The sequence below is a fragment of the Homo sapiens genome, chromosome 6 (assembly GCF_000001405.40).
Source record: "Homo sapiens chromosome 6, GRCh38.p14 Primary Assembly".
In the NCBI taxonomy this organism is placed as follows: domain Eukaryota; kingdom Metazoa; phylum Chordata; class Mammalia; order Primates; family Hominidae; genus Homo; species Homo sapiens.
The window spans coordinates 24,161,540-24,184,987 of NC_000006.12; the positions used below are offsets into that span (position 1 = coordinate 24,161,540).

The 23,448-nt window shown below is 37.6% G+C and overlaps 1 protein-coding gene and 1 non-coding gene across 3 annotated transcripts in view; one reads left to right on the top strand and one right to left on the bottom strand.

The window, feature by feature from the left end:
- The first annotated feature begins 4,733 nt into the window (after positions 1 to 4,733).
- On the top strand, positions 4,734 to 4,835 carry LOC124900220 (small nucleolar RNA SNORD46). Its single transcript, XR_007059946.1, has one exon. It is a non-coding gene; the product is annotated as a small nucleolar RNA SNORD46 (small nucleolar RNA).
- Positions 10,216 to 23,448, bottom strand: part of DCDC2 (doublecortin domain containing 2) — a 211,538-nt gene continuing 198,305 nt past the window's right edge. For both annotated transcript variants that reach the window (NM_001195610.2, NM_016356.5), the window contains 2 exons: positions 16,791 to 17,093; positions 10,216 to 13,295 (listed from right to left, as the gene is read on the bottom strand). In NM_001195610.2, the coding sequence (NP_001182539.1) occupies positions 13,191 to 13,295; positions 16,791 to 17,093 (408 nt within the window). In that variant the 3' untranslated portion in view covers positions 10,216 to 13,190. The remainder of the gene's footprint in view (positions 13,296 to 16,790; positions 17,094 to 23,448) is intronic.

The window sequence follows — 23,448 nt, forward strand, 5'->3', positions numbered from 1 at the left end:
GACTCCGTCTCAAAATAAAAAATAAAAAAAAAAAGAGTTGGTGTCAATTTTTAAGTACGTAAAGTTTCTCATGAAGTATAGTTTCATGTGAATTATTACTTTCATACGTTGCCCTTTACTCTTTGTCATTATTTCTGGCTGTTATTTGATATTTTACTTTGAATTAAGGACAGAGAACTGTGATAGGAGAATATGTTGTGTCTAACCTGAGGAAGAAAGCATACACTCTCACCATCAAATGTAATACTAGTTGTGGGTTTTTAATAAATACCTTAACACAGGTTTTTTAAAGTGAGAAAAAAAGAATATAAGACCCCTCCCTAACATAGGTTCCCTCATGCAAGTCAGTTTATGAATGGGGAATTAGAAACAGCCTACTCTCCTAGGCTCCTAGAAACAGCATGGAAACAAGACTTCTTGCTATCCACCCTAGCATCTTGCTAGTTACAAAAAAAAAAAATCAATATAAAGTCAAATCCAATTCTATAACATGCAGGTCTCAAACATATACTACCCAAGTAGTTTGGGACTCCAAAATCAAAAGAATAGACATAGTATTGGTCTAAGAACCATGAAAGCTCTAGGACATTGGCAAAACGAAATGTGAAACCTCCCCAGAAAGACTTCTACAACCCAGAGTATAAACGTGTCATGCAAGCAAAGAATCCAAAGATAAGCTCACAATGAAAAATGTGCAGGCCATACAAGGAAAGGAATCCTGATGAGAGAAGCTCAGCAGACACAACAGATGGGAAAATAGGCACTCAAGGGAACAAATATAATTTGCAAAATTGTGGGTATCTATAACTGAATATTTACATATGTTCAAAATTATTAAAATCATAAAAGAAGGCATAGAAAATGTAATGAAAGAACAAGATCTCTGAACAGACAAAAAAGAAAAAGAAAACCAAATTTGAGAAAACCAAATAGAGCTTCTAAAAATGAAAACCATAATCATTAATCTTAAAAACAAAATGAAAGAAAAAAACAGCAGATTGGATGCAGCTAAAGAAAGATTTAAGGAACTGAAGAAAGATCTGAAATTACCCATAACCCAGAATAAAGATATAAATGAATAAAAATATAAAAGAAAGACTGAGACTTGGAAAATGAATTAAATATCCTGTATGTATCTAAAAAGAGAGGAAGGGGAGAAAAATTGAAATAAGATTGAGGTAATACTTGAAATGATAGTATCTGAGAATTTTCCAGAATTAGGAGAGAGAAAATATGAAAAATAGAAATAGCAAAATAGAATGAAGTCAAAATATATGTAAATTGAATTAACTTCCTATATAAAAGACAATGATTCATAGATTAATTTTTTTAAATCCAGTTATTTGCCATTTACAAGAGATACTCTTATAATGGTACAGAAAGGTTGAAAGAGAATGAAAAACGTTATGGCTATTCTCACACTAACTGAAAAGCGCTGTCACAGTAGTAATGATATCCAAAGAAAAAACATAGCCCTTTAGCAAGATCACAAAATTTGTCTAGCCCATTGAAATGCAAACTGCTTCTGATTCTCCTTCCTAACACGAACTGAGAAGAACGCCTATGCCAGATCAATAGCCACATAAAACGAACAGAGGCTGTGTTCCTCTTTTCTAATAAAGATACTGCATCTGACACAAGCTTTTGTAATTGAGGCTACTACTTTGTTAAGTGATGGTAGTACATTATCATCACCATGGTCCATTCAGTTCTTGCTGCAGCCGGACTAGTAAATTAAAAGGGATGTAACAGGGACTACTACCTTTGCATCCTTTAAATATTTGAGGATAGCACTAATACCTCCCATTCCCTCAATATGTAATATTTTATTTTACTGGCCTGGGAGGGGGCATTTCAGGGGCTTCTACTCAGCCTTTTCTGCTGTAATACCTCTTATTCTATGATTCATAGGTCCTTCCAGTAGAAGACAGCTTAAAATTATAAAACAGAATAAAACCTATAGTTCATAGGGACTAATGTGTGAAAAGTCTGTCAACAGCTAAAAATGGTGATTCTGATTATACATTTGGGACTGAAGGTCCCAATGTCACAGACCACTTGTTGGGTCTGTGAATGCAGAGGACCCACTGTGCTATGGCCTTTGGTAAGGACTCTATTTATTACCTCTCATATGTCCTACTGTAATAGAGGAGACCAGGTGTTATTTTGGGTCTTCAATAATCAGTGTCACCTTGGAATCCAACAGTGCTCAAAAAAGCTGTGCATTTCCCTTATGTCAGTGTATAGATTATCCAAGGAATTGGCTTGTAGGTCACTTTGGGGAAGGACACGGGGAATTACTAAACTGCTCATGCCAGGGTGTTTCTGAGTCCTCCTCATGAGGACCCAGCTTCTTCAGCTGATGGGTGCTGACTAAAAAATAGCTCACGATGAAACCCAGCCAAAGGATTTTCACTGTTTATTGGAACAGCTGACCTCAGCCTTCTGCTCAACCATTCTTTACTCCACTTGATAATATATATTAAGCACACCCATAATAGCTGCCCATACATCTTGACTTTAGAAACAACATATCCTGTTGACCATCTTTACAGATCCTGCAAGTCAAGGCCTTCTGGCTGTCATTCCAATATTGCTGCCCATAATAATTCCCACCTTGTTTCTGATGGTTAAGTGCTATTCTGGGACCCCCGTTATCTTTATTGCTGCTAGAGAACCCAGTTTTCCAATGACATCTCCTACTTTCCACCCTTGCCTACAAAAGTATAGCCACCACTGAGCTTCTCTAAAATGCTGGTGTTCACCAGCACACTGATCACCTTGACAAATGTTGTGCCTGCAAGCTCTCCTAACATTCTCTGTTTTATATAGAAGACTCATTCTGGCATGCTCATATCAATGTGCCTTTTGATCCCCTCCTCCATAGTCTGCCATCACAGTCTGGAATCTCTACTTCATGTAATTGGAACCTGTGCTTTTTGCAATCCTCCAAGAGTCATGCCAGCAGCACACGAGATGTCTTTCAGGACCCTTGCTGGGGGTGTTAAATCTTGTGTCACCAGGGCATGGCTCCAAATTTACAAACTCTTCCTCATCCAGTTATATATTCTTCCTCTAATTGATCCAACTGCCTAAGAATTAACTCTAGGCATGCCACCCTGCTTCTTGCAGGAGAGTAAGCATTGTCTAGTAAGTGGGCTCTGCTCCCATTTGAGGCCCCTGCATAGACTTCAGGTAACGAGGGGCCTCTACCTTCCAACAAAGGAGAACGGGTCATTTCCACACATGCAAAGGTTCAGAGGAAACTGGAGGAGGTTCAAAGTTCTCAAGTGCATGTACCCTGATTGTCCCACACCAAGTCCTGAGGTTCTAATCCTTCCCCATTAAGGACTTGACATTGGGGAAACTTGCCTAGGCTGAGAATTCAGTATCTCTTATTAAGTCCTAGTTCTGATCTTCAGCTCTATCTGCTTTTGAATGTGGGAGAAAGGTATTCTTTTAAGTGTTACCAGTGAAGTCCTCTGAATTTCACACTTGGCTTTGAATTGTTGATTAATAGATTTCAGTCTGTCATTTCTTTTTCAATCCTTAAAGTGTGCTTAGTGAAAGCAACCTAATTCCATAATATGCCTTAGAGTTACTATTTCTCCACCTACCTCCTGTGAAAGAAAAATAAAATCTCAGGACCCCAAACTCACTATGCCAAAGGGAAAGTTAAGCTTGGGAACTGAGTCACACCAAAAAAAAAACAAACAACAACAACAAAAAACTGCTTTCCTTTTGTTCCCAGATAGCTGTAATTTCACATGCTTACTTTATGTAAAATATAGATTTACTGAGTGTGAGACAAATGCCTAATTGACTTTTTCCCCTACTCTCTTTTTCATCGCAAGTAAAATGTAGATTCACTGAGTGCTACTCAAAGGCTCACAAGACTATAATCACTTGCCTTATGCTTACCCTCCCTCCCTTTTTTCTTCCCCTCCTGCTTGCTCTTTCCTCTTAAATACCGAAATTTGCAAAATCCTTTATGGAAAAAACACCAGTCACAGTAACTTTTGTTTCTATTCCCAGGCATGTCCCCAACCTTAGCAAAATAAACCTCTAAGCGACTGAGATCTGTCTCAGTCCCTTTTTGGAATACACTCCAAACTCCACAGGCATTGCACTAGCTAGTGCATCCCTTTCAACCTATATACTGTCCCAGTTTGCCACAGATGAAAATCTTCGCAATCACACTGCTACAACCTGCCAGAGACTATCAAAACTCGATTTACCTCCAGTGATGAGATATCCATTGCTGTCAGGCCAGCAAGTTATCCATTCCCAGAATTCCATCCTGAAAATCTATTTCCAAAGCCTAAGCTATTCTGATACCCTTTCTTAGGTTGGGCCCCCTAGATGCAGAACCTGAGATGGGGATTCTTCTATGATTTATTGAAGGATGGTTCATAAGAGGAGTGGGAGAAGCAGGACAGGGTCGAGGGGAAAGTAAAGCAAGATGTGGCCCAAGATGCAGACTGAAAGTATTGCAAGATGTAGTTGAAAAGTACCAGCAGCCTGATCCCACCTTGAGGCAAAGGGATGCAGAGTGTGCAACTCTGATGCACACACTGCATCAGAGTTAGTCCCACCTTGAGGCAAAAGGATGACATCTTTCCTTCCTTTTAGGTCTGTTGTTGACTGCAAGCTATTAATGCAAGAAGGGAACCTCCTGGCCAAGGCAGCTTCTGTTTGACTGCGGGCAATTCTCTGAAGCAAGTAAACAGTCACTCGAGGGTGATGAAAAAGCATCCCTAGGTGTGGTTGTGGCATCTTGGTCACCTATGTGCCACCTGCCAGTGCAAGGATTTGTCATAGTTATAGTGACCGTGCTAAAGTTAAAGAACACCCATAGCATTTGACGGGTGGACACACCAGCCAAGTGAAATGGGATCTGGGTAGAGCACTCACTGCACGCATTTACCTGTGAGTCTACGAACAAACAGAAAATTACAAAACCTATTTAAAGCCAAATGACCATAAAAGAATAATTTACATCAAAATCTGAGGTTATAGCTAATATGATACACACTAGCAAATTTATAGCCTCAAAAGCATGTTAGAAATGAATAAAGCCAAAATGTAATTAGAAAGGCATTCAACTTAAGGAATTATAGAAAACACACAGAAAGCAGAAGAAAGGAAATATTTGTGATAAGAGCAATAAGGAAATAGAAAAAAATAAACAGTACAGAGGATCAAAAATGTATTGCTTTAAAAAACATTAATAAAAACAAATATCTGGCAATATTGAAGAAATAGAAAAGCAGATGTAAACAATATTGGAAATGGAAAAAGAGAACATTATTACATTTAGGCAAAAGTTTTTAAAAGTTCTAAAAATACTATAAATAACTTTTGGCAAATAAATTTGAAAATATGAAAGAAATTAACAATTTTTTAAAGAAATATAGATTGCCAATTCAATAAACAGAAAACCTGAATAGACAGGTAACCAGAAAAGAAATTCAATTTTAAAAAAGAAAAACCACTTTAATCATACACACACACACACACAATACCAAGCTGAGGCAGTTTTATAAGTAATGAAACACTCAAGAAAGAGATGACTCAAACCTACGAATGTTTTAGTGAGTAGGAAAGAATGGAAAGCCCTCTTCCTTATTTTATGAAGCTAACTCAACCTTACTACTATAACCAGAAAAGAGGATGTATGAAAACAATCAAAATAGATCAATTCTATTTACAAACAGGTATAAAAATTCTAAATATTAGCAAATCAAATCCAGAAACATGTAAAAATTATATATATAACCAATTATTGTCTTAAGAATGTGAGAACAGTTTAACATTAGAGAAAAAAGTAATGTAATTTACAACATTTAAAAAACTAAAGGAGAAACATAAGAATCCTAATGGATACAGAGTTTTATAAAATTCATAGTTCATAAACTCCTTCAGAGTTTTCAAATAAAATAACTCTTAGAAAACTAGGAGCAAATTGATATAAGGCATCTACCAGAAACATAAGCAAACATCACACTTAATATTAAATACTAGAAGCATTCCCTTAATGTTAGGACAAAAATATCTGCCATTGCTGCTTCCATCCAATATGTGCTAGTGGTTATAGCTTGTTCAATAGGAAAAAAAGTAGCTATTTTAAGGATTGAAACAGGAAAAAACAAATGTTACTTTTGCAGATAATATTACAGTCTTCATTAAAGTCCTACAGAAACTACAAACCACTTCTAAGAAGTTCAGGGCCGGGCATGGTGGCTCACGCCTGTAATCCCAGCACTTTGGGAGGCTGAGGCGGGCAGATCACAAGGTCAAGAGATCGAGACGATCCTGGCTAACATGGTGTAACCCCGTCTCTACTAAAAATACAAAAATTAGCCAGGCATGGTGGCAGGCGCCTGTAGTCCCAGCTACTCAGGAGGCTGAGGCAGGAGAATTGCTTGAACCTGGGAAGCGGAGGTGGCAGTGAGCCGAGATTGCACCACTGCACTCCACCCTGGTGACAAAGCAAGACTCCAGTACAAAAAAAAAAAAAAAAGTTCAGTAAGGTACCGAATACAAGATTCACTTATAGAAATCAACAACATGTTGAACAGAAATTTTCAAGAGACAAGAACATTTAAGTTGGAAGTAACTACGGGATATACAACTGAGTGCTGTATACATGGATCTGCAGCTCCCAGGGAGAAGCCCGACCGGGAGATGCAGATTTGGAAGTCGAAAGCACATAGGTAGCTGTTAAGATCATGACTGTGAATGAGATTGCTCAGGGAGATCTTAGGGATTGAAAGAATTAAGAGAAGCCACTAAATTAGCAGCCAGAAATTAAAAGAGAACTAGGACAATCCTAATAGTTATCTGTAGCCAAAAAGAATATAGTGTAACCAATGGGAGTTGCTTCATCTAGTTTTGAACTTAATGTATATTTGTCTTTGCATTTTTAAAATGATTCTGTTACTACTAAAGCAATGAATTTGTTAAATCAACCAAAAGTGAAATAAGTGTAGGATATCCTGTATCATTTCTCTTTTTAATGAAGGACTGAATTTGATTATGAGGGCATTTGAGAATCCTATACAAGGCTTTAATAGACTAGAGTCCCACTAGGGGGAGAAAAAACACTTGGAGACCTGCAGGAAAGCTGTTTATTTTCATAAATAAGTATTTTACAACAAAATGCATGCTAGCAATTTTGCAATACCTTGTAGAAATTACATTGTTGGTGGTAGAAAGTTTCTAATGTCAATTAACCACGTAGTCTAAAGAGATTTGACTCTGGCAATTTAGATGCCTCATTTGTTGTGGAGGCTTTTTTTTTTTTTTAACTCATATGGAATAACAAAGATAAACTGATCATGTGCACAAGAAATATATTAATGTACTCTTAGTCATGGGATTCAATCACACATTTGTTATTATATATCAATAAATCAAAATGCTTGTGCTTAACTGTTTTGGTTTCTCAAACATGCATAGAGAAAATAGCAAAACTATTTAATTAAAAATAGAATGAAAGCAGTGAATATCCACAAACTAAAGCAAGATGTTTTTGGAAAATTGTAAATTGATTCCTATAGACATATGTACACAAAATGCATGTAATATGTGTAATCTATTCTGTTTTAAAATATACCTTTATAATAAAAATTCTGCACCTATGTTTCATAAAAGAAATAATGGTGACTTTTGAATATACCTAAAATTTTTATCAAATAAATATCATGCATGTGAAACTGTAAAAAAATTTCTTTACATAATGAAGCTGAATATCCATGCCAAACAGAAACAGACGTATCTTTTAATGTGCTGAATTTCTACATGATTTTAAGTCAAAAATGTTTCTAGTGTTTGTGAAAAAAATGCCATAAAAAGGATTAATACATGAAATATTAGCAACACAACATCCTAAACAAGCAATAAACCATCTAAACACATTTTGATTATATAAAATGTAGGTCTCCTTGCTCAAAAGATAGAGTGAACTTCAGTCATTTTAGAGCGTGCAATGATACAGAAAAACCTAAATGCTCATAATTGATCAAAATACAAATAATTTTCCTTAAAGAGACATTCTTTTTTTTTTTTTTTTTGAGACGGAGTCTCGCTCTGTCGCCCAGGCTGGAGTGCAGTGGCGCGATCTCGGCTCACAGCAAGCTCCGCCTCCTGGCTTCACGCCATTCTCCTGCCTCAGCCTCTTGAGTAGCTGGGACTACAGGCACCCGCCACCACGCCTGGCTAATTTTTTTGTATTTGTAGTAGAGACGGGGTTTCACCATGTTAGCCAGGATGGTCTCGATCTCCTGACCTCGTGATCCACCCGCCTCAGCCTCCCAACGTGCTGGGATTACAGGTGTGAACCACCGTGCTGGCCTTCAATCTAATCTTTACTTACATCAACAATCACCCATTATCATTGTACCCATTAAAGATTTAAGGCACAAGAAAAAACACTGAAGCAAAAGACAAAACAGGCTTTCTCGAAAATTCTCCTAAGAATGACTACAATCATTCCCTCTTTCCATATGTCATTGCATTCGTGACAATAAATGAAACAAACTATATCGTTCAAGCTGATGAAACTACAGAGAATTCATCTGGTCCCATTCTTAGAGTAAAGCTGAAGTCGTTGTTGGCGTTAAGTCAACAGAGCTCCACTGGTTACACCTCCTCATTTTATAAATGCCTTATGGTAATCCAGGCATTTTTAAAAACTGTCCTAACTCCCCATCTCCTACAGGATGTTATGCCTCTTCAAAAAACAGTATCTTTTTCCTTATCAACATAAGGGAACACTCTTGTATTCCCCATTCATGTCACTCAAACTTCATGGGAGGAAATATACAAATTTCATGTAGGGAGAACAAAAATCAGTCCCATCTAAATGTCCCGATATGTTTTAAAGAGGAAAAATCTTGTGGTATTTACAAAAATGATATTTAATGACAAAGAACTGTATGTGTTCATCATCTTAGAGTAACAGACTAACCTTTTAAAAATGGTTTCATTCCTGAAGAATGCCAAAATGCTTCCGCACTGAACCTGAACATTATATAAACTAATGGACCAATAAGTCAGTCTTTCATTCTATTTGTGATACCCCGGCTAACTGGTATGAAAAAGAGTCCTGACACATCTATGTAAATCACACATGCACACACATGGTCACAAACAGTAATAACAGAATCTGTATTGGTATAAAAGAATCTACACCTGAAATGTATCGTGCTTAAGGTTGATGGAAAAGAACCATGCTCTGTAGTTACTTCAGGAAAACAAGATATGTCTTGGTTTCTGTTTTGGTTTATGTGATATATCACATTTTAAAAACCGGATTTGTTTCAACACCTCCCTAGAATACATTTTTCATTGACATGCTGGTTTCTTATTTGGAGAAGAATTTTAAATCTCTTAAAGTCTTAGGAAATCAAGATTTAAAGCACCATAATATATATCATTTCTTAGCATTTCCTCTCACGTTTTAACTCATTGCTTCTCTCAACTTCACCCAAAAGAGCCTTGTTTTATTAATAACGCTGTGCCTCAGGAGGCCTTTTTAATGTTTTAAAGTGTGTGAGTGCATCTGTATAAGTATTTGATACATATCTATGTCTACATGCTATATTTCTCTTCAGATTGGCCACAGTTTCCATGTGATGCTTTCTGTTGATGAATTAATCTACTTTTTAAACTTTGCTTTTGCAAGGTTTGTTGAACAAAAAATGAAAGAAAGCTTCCTGTTGTCTTGCGGCCACTAATTTAAATGCACAGATTTTTTTCTAGGTGAATGAACTTTATCCTTTGTGTATAAGGTAGGTCATTCAATGACAATGTTTAGGATGTTAGTTTATGAGCTATAAATTGGAAGAGTTGGCAGGAATAATACCATATTAATATGGGTTCACAACTGTGAGCCTAGAGATATCTCACTCTGAACCACGTATGTATGGGATAGTTCTGTCTTCACACACCACATAGCAAGAATTCACACCTTTACAATAAAACAGGAGGCATGATAGCATCACACTTTTCCTATGAGTGTGGCAACCTAACATTCCCCCAAAAACATATAGGAAAAATGTCTTAAAAAAATAAAGTCATCCTAAGGTCATAGAGAAGAATAAGAAGTAAAAAGTTATTTTATGGTCATAGTATCGTATTTTATAAGTCAATGGGCACTCAATAGCTATTTTAACAGAAGTTAACCCAGGTAAAACACCCTTAGCCTCAAAATGACTTTTGTCAAAATCTTCTTTATTTGCTCTGTAAAACTCTTAATGCCCCAATTTTACTAACAAACCATTTGTTTACAAGTGTCTTAAAATCCAGATAAGTTTAACAAAGTGGTTTCATAAAACTATAAAAACTATGTATATAGCATCACAAAGAATTAACATATTAAAGCATTATATTGGTTATCACATAAAAGCATCATAAGTTTTTCGTAGCACTCTCTCTAGAAAACAGTACATGAAGCCAAACCAAGATCTTGTCTGTCCACTCACATAAAAGGTCCCAGGTCTGTCAATGAGTTTCATTTAATTTGGAGAGCCAGTCTGCCACGGAGACCACCATTCTCCACAGAGAAAACTGCCACATTTGTGAGGTGAATGAACTTTCAGCATTTATGTTAAAGTCATCTCTGAAGTGACATCCACAATTTTAATTCCAAGTGAATGGTTTTTTCCTTGGCTAGGCACCTTTTTTTAGTAACATGTTTGCAAAGTGTCTTAAAGTGATAAGTCGTTATTCATCCCCTCAAAGTAGGTCACAATTGTATCTTGTCAACAAGTGGTAAAATATGCACACACAAGGGATGAATATGTCCCCATTTTTAAGTTTTTTTGGTACAGTTATTGTGGCTTATTACCCCCTTGAAGTATATTTAAAATACCAAACGTTATTATTCATGTAAAATATCAATGTTGTGCTTCATTAAAATGACGCTTAAGGTGTTTCCTAAAACCTAAGTTTCATAATATAATGAATAAAAGGACAGGAAAAAAAGAAATATTTTTATTAGAGGAGGAAAAGAGAAAGAGAAACTCTCCATTGAAGAAACAAAAGAGAATCACCTTGATAATTAGTTATAATTTCTTACATTTAATCAGTTATTTTTAGAAACTATTTGAAATCATTAACTCCAGACCCAGTAATAGTGCACAAATTTAATATTAAAAGACCAACTGGGACCGGGTGCTGTGGCTCACACCTGTAATCCCAGCATTTTGGGATGCAAAGGCGGGCGGATCACCTGAGGTCAGGAGTTTGAGACCAGCCTGGCCAACATGGTGAAACATCTGTCTCTACAAAAAATACAAAAATTAGCCAGGTGTGGTGGCAGATGCCTGTAATCCCAGCTACTCGGGAGGCTCAGGTGCTTGAACCCAGGAGGCAGAGGTTGCAGTAAGCCAAGATCATGCCACTGCACCCAGCCTGGGCGACAAGAGCAAGACTTCATCTCAAAAAATAATAATAATAATAATAATAATAATAATAAAGATCAATTGGTCTATTTGCCTACCAACCCAAGATTGTTGCTTATAGCCCACAGTGCTTTATATCATCCCATTTGAAAAAGTAACGCTAGTAGAAAGCACAATTTAGATTTTACACCAGAAACATAGTACCCTGTTTCTAATTCATGCTCCCAGATCACTATATCCTTGTGTCATTATCTCTTCCAAATACTGTTACATTATCTCTCTGTTTACACTTCTGATCTGTGGAAAATACCAAAATCATATTAAGAAAAAACACATCTATTTTCTATAGTATTATTAAGTGCTTTATATAACTGCCAACTCTTTATTCCAAATGAAACCTGGAAGAGAAAAAATGTTTTAAACTTGTAATTGTGAATTTTAGAAAAGCACTAGAAGTTAAAATTTCAAGCTTACAACTTCCACATAATTAAAAATATATCCTTTAAGAAAAATATATTATTTCTATATTTATGGAAGAACATCTCTTAAGAATTCATAAAAAGGACGAAATTATGTTTTAATTATGTTTTTATGTTTTCCCCATACATACCTCACAAGGCAACTATAAATCAATTTAGTCAGTCCATGAAGTTGTGATTCAGGAATTGGTTTCATTATAATAACTTCTAAAGTTTTACAATTTCTATCAGATGCCTTCTAATTACAAAGAAATCTGCTTGAAATTCTAACTATATCATGCTAGGAAAAATAAATATTTGCTGATATCCCTAGGGCAAAAACATAGTAAAACAGTCTTAATAGAAATAAGGCAAAAAACAAGTTAAATTGAGCAGTCACAAACTCTTCATATAGTCTACTTTTTTCTTCCTAATACACTTTTATTTTTGTTGAAAACTATTTGAAAATAATTTAATCTTTGGAATAGCCAATATCAGGTTCTCTAATAACATAAGGGAGAAGAGAGAGATACTATTGGTAAAGATAGACTGGATCAGTGAAAATCCACAGGATTTCCATTATCTGCAAACCATACATCCAGGCTTTATAATATAACTGGGTGCTCCTTTACAATTCCTTCCTGAGTGTGCGCCATTGGAGCCACAAGCATGCAAGCCTGAAAGCATTTAAGTGACGGCATGGCGATACTAGTCACTAACACTCTGAACCAATGCTTCCTCCCACCAAAATGAACGCCTTGCTCTGTCTTTGTAGTTCAAAGGTGGATTTTGGCTAAGGAGGAAGAAAGAAAGGCATGTTAACAAGTCATGGACACATTTTGATCTACTGCCATCTCCAAATTATGTCTGAAAGTAAATCGCAATCTGTTCATTCAAGAGTTTATTGCTTTAAGAAAATAGTACATGCTTTCCTATTACCAGTTCTTTAAAATTCTACGCCTTCCTAGAGAAAAATTATTTAGAATAAACTGCCTTCTAAACTTATAATAAAGCGTACAATAAGAGTGATCCTATTTTTCATCCTTTACAAGTGGCAATTGTCTTCCAGTGCAAATTCTCCTCTGTCCGTCTTATTTAATATTTCTATATGACTTTTAAAACACATGCAATAAAAGTAAGTAATTATCCTTTAGTAGCCATTTAAAGTTATCTGGTCTTTCCACTAGGCTTCTAATGTTATAATTCGTAGGTAGTATTCGACCATAGTGTCACATTATATTCAGCAATAACTATGTGCTTATCTTTCAAGTATGATAACCCTTCATTTTTCTTGCGATCCATATACTCTCTTTTTAAAAATGTTCTAAGCCACGGCAGCATAGTCCTTGTTTTGTTGGTTGTTTTCATTTTCTTCTGGACTGGTAATTTTTACTTCTGGCCTTGGTGGTCTTTGAGGGTCTACATCAGCCTAGAAGAAAATAGATCAAAACAAAGGTATTCAGCTGTTTGGTTCACAAAGGTAATGACATTTATAAAGAAAAAATTACTCAAGATTCTATTTAATTATATAAATATTTAACTAAAAAGAGTTCCTGGGGTTCCCTTTGTTTTTTTGTCTATCATTACCCAGTGGACATACTGTTTTCTCAACACTTGTACAAAAGTCCTTTTGGGGTTCATAATCTACTAGTGCTTGAAAGGCCCTGACTCATTTTGTATGCTGCAGGCTTTATTTTTCTCATTTTTTCTTGATTTCTCTTTGAGCTTTTCTTCAATTTAGTTATACTTTTCAGTTTAGCATTTTCAGAGACAAAGGAAGAAAAAATTCAGGGACATTCTCCTAATTTTAGTTTCCTCCTAGAATTCACAAATTCGTTGTGAATATGGTACCAAGTACCATCAAGTAGCAAGTAGATAAGAAAAAGACAGAAAATCAAAATGTGGAGGCAGCATTTCTCCAACAACAACTATTGCTCCTGCCACTTGGGTTTTTCCTGTTAATAATGACATTGTCTCATGTACAACTCACCTTTCCCCGACTACACTGAAAACTGAGTGGGTGAGATTAGAACCAGCAGGTTTGCAAAGTCTGCTCTATGAAATCCTAGAGGCTCCACAGCCCCCACAAGGGCACCCAGTCTGGGGGACAGAGTAGCTCCAGGTTCCCCAAACCACACAGGCCATGACTGATGCTTTGAAGAAATTATATATATATATGACTGGTGCCGTGTCTTATTTCACACTGTTCCTTTGTGAAATGTCTCAAATGGTATCTTGAATATAGTACAAGTTCAATCTCAATAAATGTCAATTGTTTCTTGTAAATTCTCTGTATTTCCTGGTATTTTCCTACAATCATATCTCGCTTTGTACAAGAATTGTTACATGGAACAAAATGTTACACGGTGAACAGAATTTCTAGTCATTTTATTAGTAGACAGTCCTTCTGTAAAAGTTAACTATTCATTTTTAACTTACAATTCACATAAATTTGGTTTCTCATATATTTCGGTATGCTTAAAATATACCTATACTAATATGTTAGGGAGAACAAGATAAAATATATCATTGTTATAAGTAAGAGATGAGTCAAATAAGATTAAATCTCTTTGTGAGTAACTGCTCTGTTACTAATCCCTAATTAGGCCGGGCATGGTGGCACGTGGCTGTAATCTCATCACTTTGAGAGGTCAAGGCAAGAGGATCGCTTGAGTCCAGGAGTTAAAAACCAGCCTGTGCAACACAGGGAGGGAGACTTCCTCCATATTAAAAAATATGTATATATGGCCTGGCATGGTGGCACCTGTGGGCCCAGCTATCACAGGAGGATGAAGTGGGAGGATCACTTGAGCCCGGGAGGTCAAAGCTGCAGTGAGCTGTGATCACGCCACTGAACTCCAGCCTGGGTAGCAGAGTGAGACCTTGTCACAAAAAAAAAGTCCCTAATTAGATGTTGTCTCAAAAAAAAAAATCACAAACTAGGCACTTCCTTATTTGAATTCCCAAGAATTTAGATTCACTCTCATTACATACCACAGGTCAATGCCAAATTACATAACCTTGATCTTGACGGATGCCCAATTCCTATCAAAAGCCTATTTTTCCCCTTTAAAAAAATATTCATTTGTCATAATTGGCAAATAAAAATTGTATGTTTATAGCATACAAAATGATGTTTTGAAATATGTATCCATTGTGAAATGGCTTGAGTTAATTAACATACACCTTACCTCACATACTTATCTTTTGTGGTGAGAACCCTTCAAATCTGCTCTGTTAGTGATTTTCAAGTATACAATACATTGTTATTATACGTTAGACACCTTACTGTACAATAGATCTCTTGAACTTATTCCTCCTTTCTCGCAGAAATTTTGTATCATTTGACCAACATCTCTCCAACCCTGTACTCAGTCCCTGGTAACCACCATTCTACCTTCTACTTCTATGAGTTTAACTGTTTTTAGATTACACATATAAGTGAGATCATATGGTATGTGTCTTTCTTTGGTTGGCTAATTTCACTTAACATAATGTCCTCCAGGTTTATTCATGTCATTGCAAATTACAGGATTATTTTTTAAAGTTATATTTATGGAAGATGGAAGGACAGGCAATCCATTCATTTCTGTAAAATCTATTTATGTGATATGTTGAATTAAGCTAGACCACTGGAAAAAAATCATGTTGGATCTTACTATCTAGTCCCACACAGAATTACACTTTGATTTCATTTTGTAAGCTTTCATCAAAAGCTACTACAACAAAGAGTTGTATGAAACCTACTATTACAGGTGCCATATAAATGACGCTGAGGACTATGTAGAACTAATATGGGGAATTTCTTATAGAATAGGACTATGATTATCTCACCTTGAGAAAAGATAAGAGACATGCTGAGCATTTTCATTTAGATGTTAAGAACATTTTGAATAACTCATATAGTGGATTGCAGATAACTTCGTACTGTTACTGAAACCTGGCCACCAGAACATTTTGCATTTTGCCACCGCTAAACTTGCTTTCCCTAAGCAAGATAAATCAGATGCATCAATAATAAATAATCAAGTAGACCTCAGTGATCATAGTGGGTATTAGGAATGAGTAGTCCAAGGCCCACTTCAGCAGTTACAGCCTTGAGGGAGGTGGACCTTGAACTGACGGATAGACAGGAAGGGATGGGATAAGCAGATGGTGAGAATGTTATGGAGAACATCCTGCCTCTTATGCTGTGAGACTCAACTTGAGCCTGGCAGCAACAGGATCATATTGTCCCGTGGAAGAATGCCAGGACTGATGAGTATCCAACTCCAGGATCAGACATAGAAGAACAGGCTAGGAAAAGAGAGATTTCACCAGATATTACTTTTTCTGTTCTCTTATTTTCACCACATATTTCTTTATCCTCTCTGTATAATAAATAGAACTGTATACTACCCAAGTGCCTAATGTGTTGAATGCTTAATTTGATTAATCTATTTAAAGTAGAAAAAAGCAAACTAACTTCAGTACTTCTAGAGATCAAAGAAATCACTCATAATAGAGAAAGTATTCCTTATTTCATGTCTAGGTCTCACTGGTCTTGATATTCTTTTTTGGTTTCTACCTTCTCTGGTCTTAACTTATTCTTACTTTTTTATATTTCTTTCTTGGATTATGTATGTTCTTAGAAGGCTCTGTACATTTTCTTGTAAAATTAGGCAGGAGGTAAGTAGATGGATGGGTCAATGGCTAAATGTATGAATGGCAGAAGGGCAGACACAAACTGTCAGGTCAATGGCAGTATTGTTAAATGGTTGAAATAACTAGTAAGTAAAGGGATTAAATGGTATTGGATCTTTCCTACTCAACCACAAGTGGTTTCAATACAAGTCCTAAACACTTGATTAATTCTCTGAATGCACGCATGTACACACACACATATTCATGCATTCACATAAGCAAGCAAAAGCAATAGAAATACCTCATCTTGTCCACTGCCAGCTCCTTGAGACTTTCTTTCCTTGTCTAGGACCAGTTGAAGCTCATTATTAACCTGCTGCAGCTCCTCACCATTCTCCTCATCGGTGCCTCCATTTACACGAGCAGGGCGTGCCTGCTGCTCACTGTGATCCAGAATCTCCTCGACTTGCTCAGGGGCATCTGTAGCCTCCCTACCTCCTTCCTCTTCAAGGTCACCATTCATTCCTGAAAAGTCTTCTTTCTGTTCTGCATCCTTGTTTGCCTTCTCTCCATCTTCTTCCTCGTCTACTATTTCTGCTGGCCTCTGATGGATCAAAAGGAATAATGGATAAAAGTAAGAAGCATAACAGAACATTTCCACTGCACATCATAGTAATGTAATACTTATATTACAGTCAAGTAAAACATTCTTACATTTGCATAGTACTTTACAGTATAGAACGCACTTACGTTTACTGAGTACCTACCACATGCCACATGTTACAAGCATTCCCTCATTTAATCCTCACAACAATCCTTTGAAATTGTTATCATTCCCATTTTGCAGATGAGAAAACTAAACAGGTGGAGCCCAAGATCCCACAGAAAGAGCCAGAGTTTGAACTAGGCCTGTGACTCCAGAACCAGTGCTTGTAACCCCCATGGCAGATAGAAAGCCAAACCGCAAGGTCCTTGGCCACTGTCTAGTGAAGCACCTGGCCCAGAGGAAGAGGTTTAAAAAAAAAAAGTCTTTGTGGAAAGATTGTCATCCTCAAGGCTAAGGATGAGGGCAATGGCACCAGGCTGTGAATTCATGTTTTCTGACGTGGAATGTAGACAGCTTTCCCCACAATGCCTAAGGAAGCTGACAGCTTCTCTCTAAACACAATAACTGATTTTCCTGCAGATCTAAGGTCAAGAAACTATATGTCCTCTCTGTAAGAATAATAAATGCTGAGGGCCAGGCACAGTGGTCACACTTGTAATCCTAGCACTTTGGGAGGCCGAGGCGGGCAGATCATGAGGTCAGGAGATCGAGACCATCCTGGCTAACATGGTGAAACCCCATCTCTACTAAAAATACAAAAAAATTAGCTGGGCATGGTGGTGCACACCTGTAGTCCCAGCTACTCGGGAGGCTGAGGCAGGAGAATGGCGTGAACCCAGGAGGCAGAGCTTGCAGTGAGCCGAGATCGCGCCACTGCACTCCAGCCTGGGTGACAGAGCAAGACACCATCTCAAAAAAAAAAAAAAAAAAAAAAAAAAAAAGAATAAATACTAAAGTATTTCATAAACCTTAATCAAGCATTTCACTGTTCTACTGTTATTTTGATACACATAAATCTGCTTCAAGAGGGAACAGGAGGCCAGGCACGGTGGCTTATGCCTGTAATCCCAGCACTTTGGGAGGCCGAGGCGGGCAGATCACGAGGTCAGGAGATTGAGACCATCCTGGCTAACACGGTGAAACCCCATCTCTACTAAAAATACAAAAAATTAGCCAGGCGTGGTGGTGGGCACCTGTGGTCCCAGCTACTCAGGAGGCTGAGGCAGGAGAATTGCATGAACCCGGGAGGCAGAGCTTGCAGTGAGCCCAGATAGTGCTACTGTACTCCAGCCTGGGCGACAGAGCAAGACTCCATCTCAAAAAAAAAAAAAAAAAACAAGGGGTGGGGGAGGGAACAGGAGGCCAGCTTTCAGAGCCAAGACTTTGGAGAAAAACCCAGGTTCAAGTCCTGACCAGGCACTTACTGGCTGTTACCTAACTTTGGTGAGTTTCAGATTCCCCATTTGTAAAATGGGAACGTAACAAAACTTCCATGAAGATTAAAGAAAAGTTATATAAAGTGTCATAGTTTCTGGCACATCACAGATCCTAAAAAACATGGAAATCCCTTCCCATTTGTTACAATACATTCTCTCCTGGAGCCACCATATTTCTTCAATGCTATCAATAAAATAACACGGTTTTTTTGTTGTTTTTTGGTTTTTTTTGAGACAGAGTCTTGCTCTGTCGCCCTGGCTGGAGTGCAGTGGTGCGATCTCTGCTCACTGCAAGCCCCGCTTCCCCGGTTCATGCCATTCTCCTGCCTCAGCCCCCCGAGTAGCTGGGACTACAGGCGCCCGCCACCACGCCCGGCTAAATTTTTTGTGTGTTTTTTAGTGGAGACGGGGTTTCACCATGTTAGCCAGGATGGTCTCGATCTCCTGACCTTGTGATCCACCTGCCTCAGCCTCCCAAAGTGCTGGGATTACAGGCATGAGCCACCATGCCCGGCCCAGGGTTTTTTTTAATGATAGGGTAGAATGATTTATTTGGTGTTAAGATCTCATTATTGCCTCTTTCTAGCTACCTGACATTGGACAGGTCACTTAATTCTCCTTCCCTGTAAAATGAGAGTTTGGAACCCAGTTAGCCCTGACCCCCCTTTCCAACTCTAGAAGCCCATCTCTTCTAACTGACCAAACAACTGACCAAACTTTTTGTCATTACAAAAGTTAACATAATGCTTTCAGTTTTGGAAGTAAGGAAGGAAATGAAGGGGACAAGACTAAAAGTTCAGAAAAAAATTCCACACATTATTTTTAAGAAGAAAGAGTTGGAACTAGTAATAATTCTTATCTTCTGTCAAAAATAAAGTCTCAGATTTAATTACATGATACCAAATGTGTATTTTTTAAATGAAGGAAAAAACTAGTTGTTCTTAGATACTGAAAAAACCACAATGTTTGTCATTATGCAGATTAAAAGACACCGTGAGCCTAGGCTGTTCAAATTTTATTCGGATGCTTAAGGTCAAATAGCGGAGAGTCCTAACTATCCCTCAGCATGTCGTCAGGGTGGGTCCCTCACAAAGGCAGAATGATGGACAGAAACTCAGGTCCAGAGGGGAATGGATCTGCCAGCTGGTGCTAAAAGGCAAAAGATTTATGAACATAACTCACAATGCTTGGTAAGAAGTTTCTGGTGTTTAATGTATGTGACCTAAATGACTGAAAGTGAGAAAAGTCTCCAATCTCTAACAAAGAGAATAACATTTCCAATCTGCCCCACCAGACCCATCTCACCCTCTCCTCAAAGAGAACAAGCTAAGTAAGGCACTGAGATACAGACACTTGAGGTGATAAGGAGAGGAGGGCTTGGCAAGGGAAAGATGGGTGTTGTCATTATAAAAACAGAACGGAGGAGAATACATCACACATGAAAATGAGTTGCATTTCTATACACTAACAATGAACAATCTGGAAGGAGATTACAGAAACAATTTCATTTACAATAGCATCAAAAGGAATAAAACACTTAGGAGTTAGCCAGTGAGGTGAAAGACTTGTGCAATGAAAAATACAAAACATTGCCAAAAGAAAATTTAAAAGACATAAATAAATGGAAATATGTCCCATGTTAATGTATTAGAATACTTAATATCATTAAGAGGTCAATATTATCCAAAGTGATCTACAGATTCAATGCAATCCCTGTTGTTTTTTACGGAAATAGAAAAACCCATCCTATAAGTCATATGGAATCTCAAGGGACCCTGAGTGGCCAAAACAACTTTGAAAAAGGACAAAGATGGAGAATTCCCACTTCTTTATTTCAAAGCTTACTGCAAAGCTACAATAACCAAAACCAGAGTGGTCCTGGAATTAAGACAGATATATAGACCAATGGAATAGAACAGAGAGTCCAGAAATAAACCTTCACATATACGGTCAAATGGTTCTGATAAGGGTGCCAACACCATTCAGTAGGGAAAGGACAGTCTTTCAACAAATTGTGCTGGGAAAATTGGATATCTACATGCAAAAGAATGAAGTTGTATCCTTACCTAACATATGTACAAAAAATAGCTTCAAATGAATGAAAGACCTAAATGTAAAACCTAAAACTATATAACTCTTAGAGGAAAACATAAGGCAAAAGCTTTTTGGCATTGGACTTGGTGGTAATTTCTTACATATGACACTAAAGACACAGGCAACAAAAAAATACATAAATGGGACTTCATAAAAATTTTAAAATTTTGTACATCAAAAGACAATACCAACAGAGTAAAAAGGCAACCCATAGAATGGGAGGCAATATTTGCAAATCATTTATCTGATAAAGGCTTGATATCTAGAATATATAGGGAACACCTAAAACTCAACAACAAAAAGTCTCATTCAAAAATGTGCGAAGTACTTGAATAGACATTTCTGCAAAGAAGATATACAAATGGCCAATAATCACATGAAAAGATTGTCAACTTACTAATAATTAGGGAAATACAAATTAAAACTGCAATAAGATACTACCTAACACCCATTATGATGACAAGAAAAAAAAAAAAAAACAGAAGAAAACAAGCGTTGACAAGGATGTGGAGAAACTGGAACTCCTGGGCATTTTGGGGGATGCAAAATGCTACAGCCACCTGAAAAACAGTATGGTCATTCCTCAAAAAGTTCAAAATAGAATTACCATATGATCTAGCAACTCCACCCTCTGGGTAAATACCCAAAAGAACTGAAAGCAAGGACTTGAAGAGATATTTGTACACCCAAGTTTATAGGAGAATTATTCACAATAGCTTAAAATGTGGAAGCAACCCAAGTGTTCATCAAAAGATGAGTGGATAATCAAAATGCAGTATATCCATACAATGGAGTATCATTCAGCCTTACAAAGAAAGAAAATTCTGATGCAAAATGCATGAAACAGAGATATTATGCTAAGTGAAATAAGCCAGTCACACAAAAAGACAAATACTGTATGATTCTACATGTGAGGTATGTAGTCAGAATCATAGAGCAGAGAGTAGAATGCTGATTGCCAGGTTGAGGGAGGGCGAAATGGGGAGTTCTTGTTTAATGGGTATGGAGTTTCAGTTTTGCAAGACGAAAAGAGGTTTGGACCTGGTTGGTGGTGGTGGTTACACAACATTATGAATGTGTTTCATACCACTGAACTGTATGTACACTTAAAACTGGTTAAGATGGTAAATATGCCATTATGAGTATATTACCACAAAAAGAAATAAAATGGAGCAGAGGAAATGTACTGAGCCAAAGATTACATTCTGCATCGCTGAAGAGCAAGGATTTCTAGGGAGTTCAGGAAAGGAGCCCACACCAGGAAGTCGAGAGTTTTCCTTTACCAAGACACTAAGGCAGAGAGGGGACTTCCAAGGGGGAAGAAGGTATAATAAACCAGCTCAGAGAAAACATGGCGGATGGTTCCCCACGAACAAGTCAGAAGAAGCCAGGAAAAGCCCTGTGGACCCTTGGCCCAGAGACAAGTTTCCTTCCATGGACTCTGCAGAATAACATACATGGTCATTGTGGGACCCTGAGAGACACATAAGGGACTCTCACGCCTTATGACTTCAGTGATTGGGCCAAGGGCACCCATCTGTGTTAAGCAGTACTGAGAGTTCCCGGCATTCGGAGATAAATACCACTGTCTCCGAGATCAAAGAGCGCAGAGCAGAGCACAATAGGCAGGAAAGATGCGTAAACAAATCACATTACAATGTGGAATGAGGCGAGAAGCAGTTAAGGGCATGTGTCGGGAAAGGAGTGGGTTGTTTGGCCATAGAGACTTCTACAACTCTGTGTCTACAGTGTTTGCAGGTAGTGACAGGTGAGAAAGGCGGGGCAAATGGAAGTGCAAAGGCTGAGCACCGCTCTGTGCCAAACATCACACGCAGCATTTCATGCAACTCTCACAATAGCCCTATGAGTTGTTTCTTATACCCATTAGACAAAGAGAGTAAATGAGAAATCGCATCACACTTCCCACATCACAGGGCAAGTGACCAAGTAGGGCTAGGGTGTAAACAAAAGGCAGTCTTGTCCCAAAGTCCTAGTATCTTTCCTTAAATTAATAACCAAACAAGTCGCTACAATAAGGACACTCACGTGTACTTTCAATGGCCAGAACATATGAGATCTGCAGTAGGCAACATTACTTTTACTGTTTAAAGAATTACTGACCTGAGGCTGGGCATGGTGGCTCACGCTTGTAATCCTAGCACTTTGGAGGCTGAGGCAGGAGGATTAACTGAGCTCGGGAGTTCAAGACCACCCTGGGGACAACATGATGAAACCCCGTCTCTACTAAAATACAAAAAATTAGCCGGGCTTGGTGGTGCATATCTGTAATCCCAGCCACTCAGGAGGCTGAGGCAGAATTGCTTGAACCCAGGAGATGGAGGTTGCAGTGAGCTGAGATTGCACCACTGCACTCCAGCCTGGGCCACAGAGAGAGACTCTGTCTCAAAAAATAAAAATAAAAAAAAAAGAATTACTGACCTGAAAACAAAATATTTTGGGAATTTCTATCACTGACTTTTGGTGTGATCTAGGAAAGAAACATTATTATAAGAATTGTCTAGCAGAGTACCTGAAGCAGTATATAACAAAACTCCCGAAATACTGCAGTACTAATGGCCAATAGGAACAGATTTCTTTTTAAATTACCTCTGAAAATTGGATAATTATACATCACTCTCCTAGAAATGGTTTTGATCCTTACTGTGCCTAAACTTGCCCTATTATTCAGAACAACTTTGTTTTAGTTTTAAAGAGAAGTTGTGTAGCATTTAATAAAATAACAAAAAACTCATAATTTACTGTAACTTTTTAGGATTCTGGATATGGTCCTCGCCTCTCTGAGAACATATTACCAGTGCTTG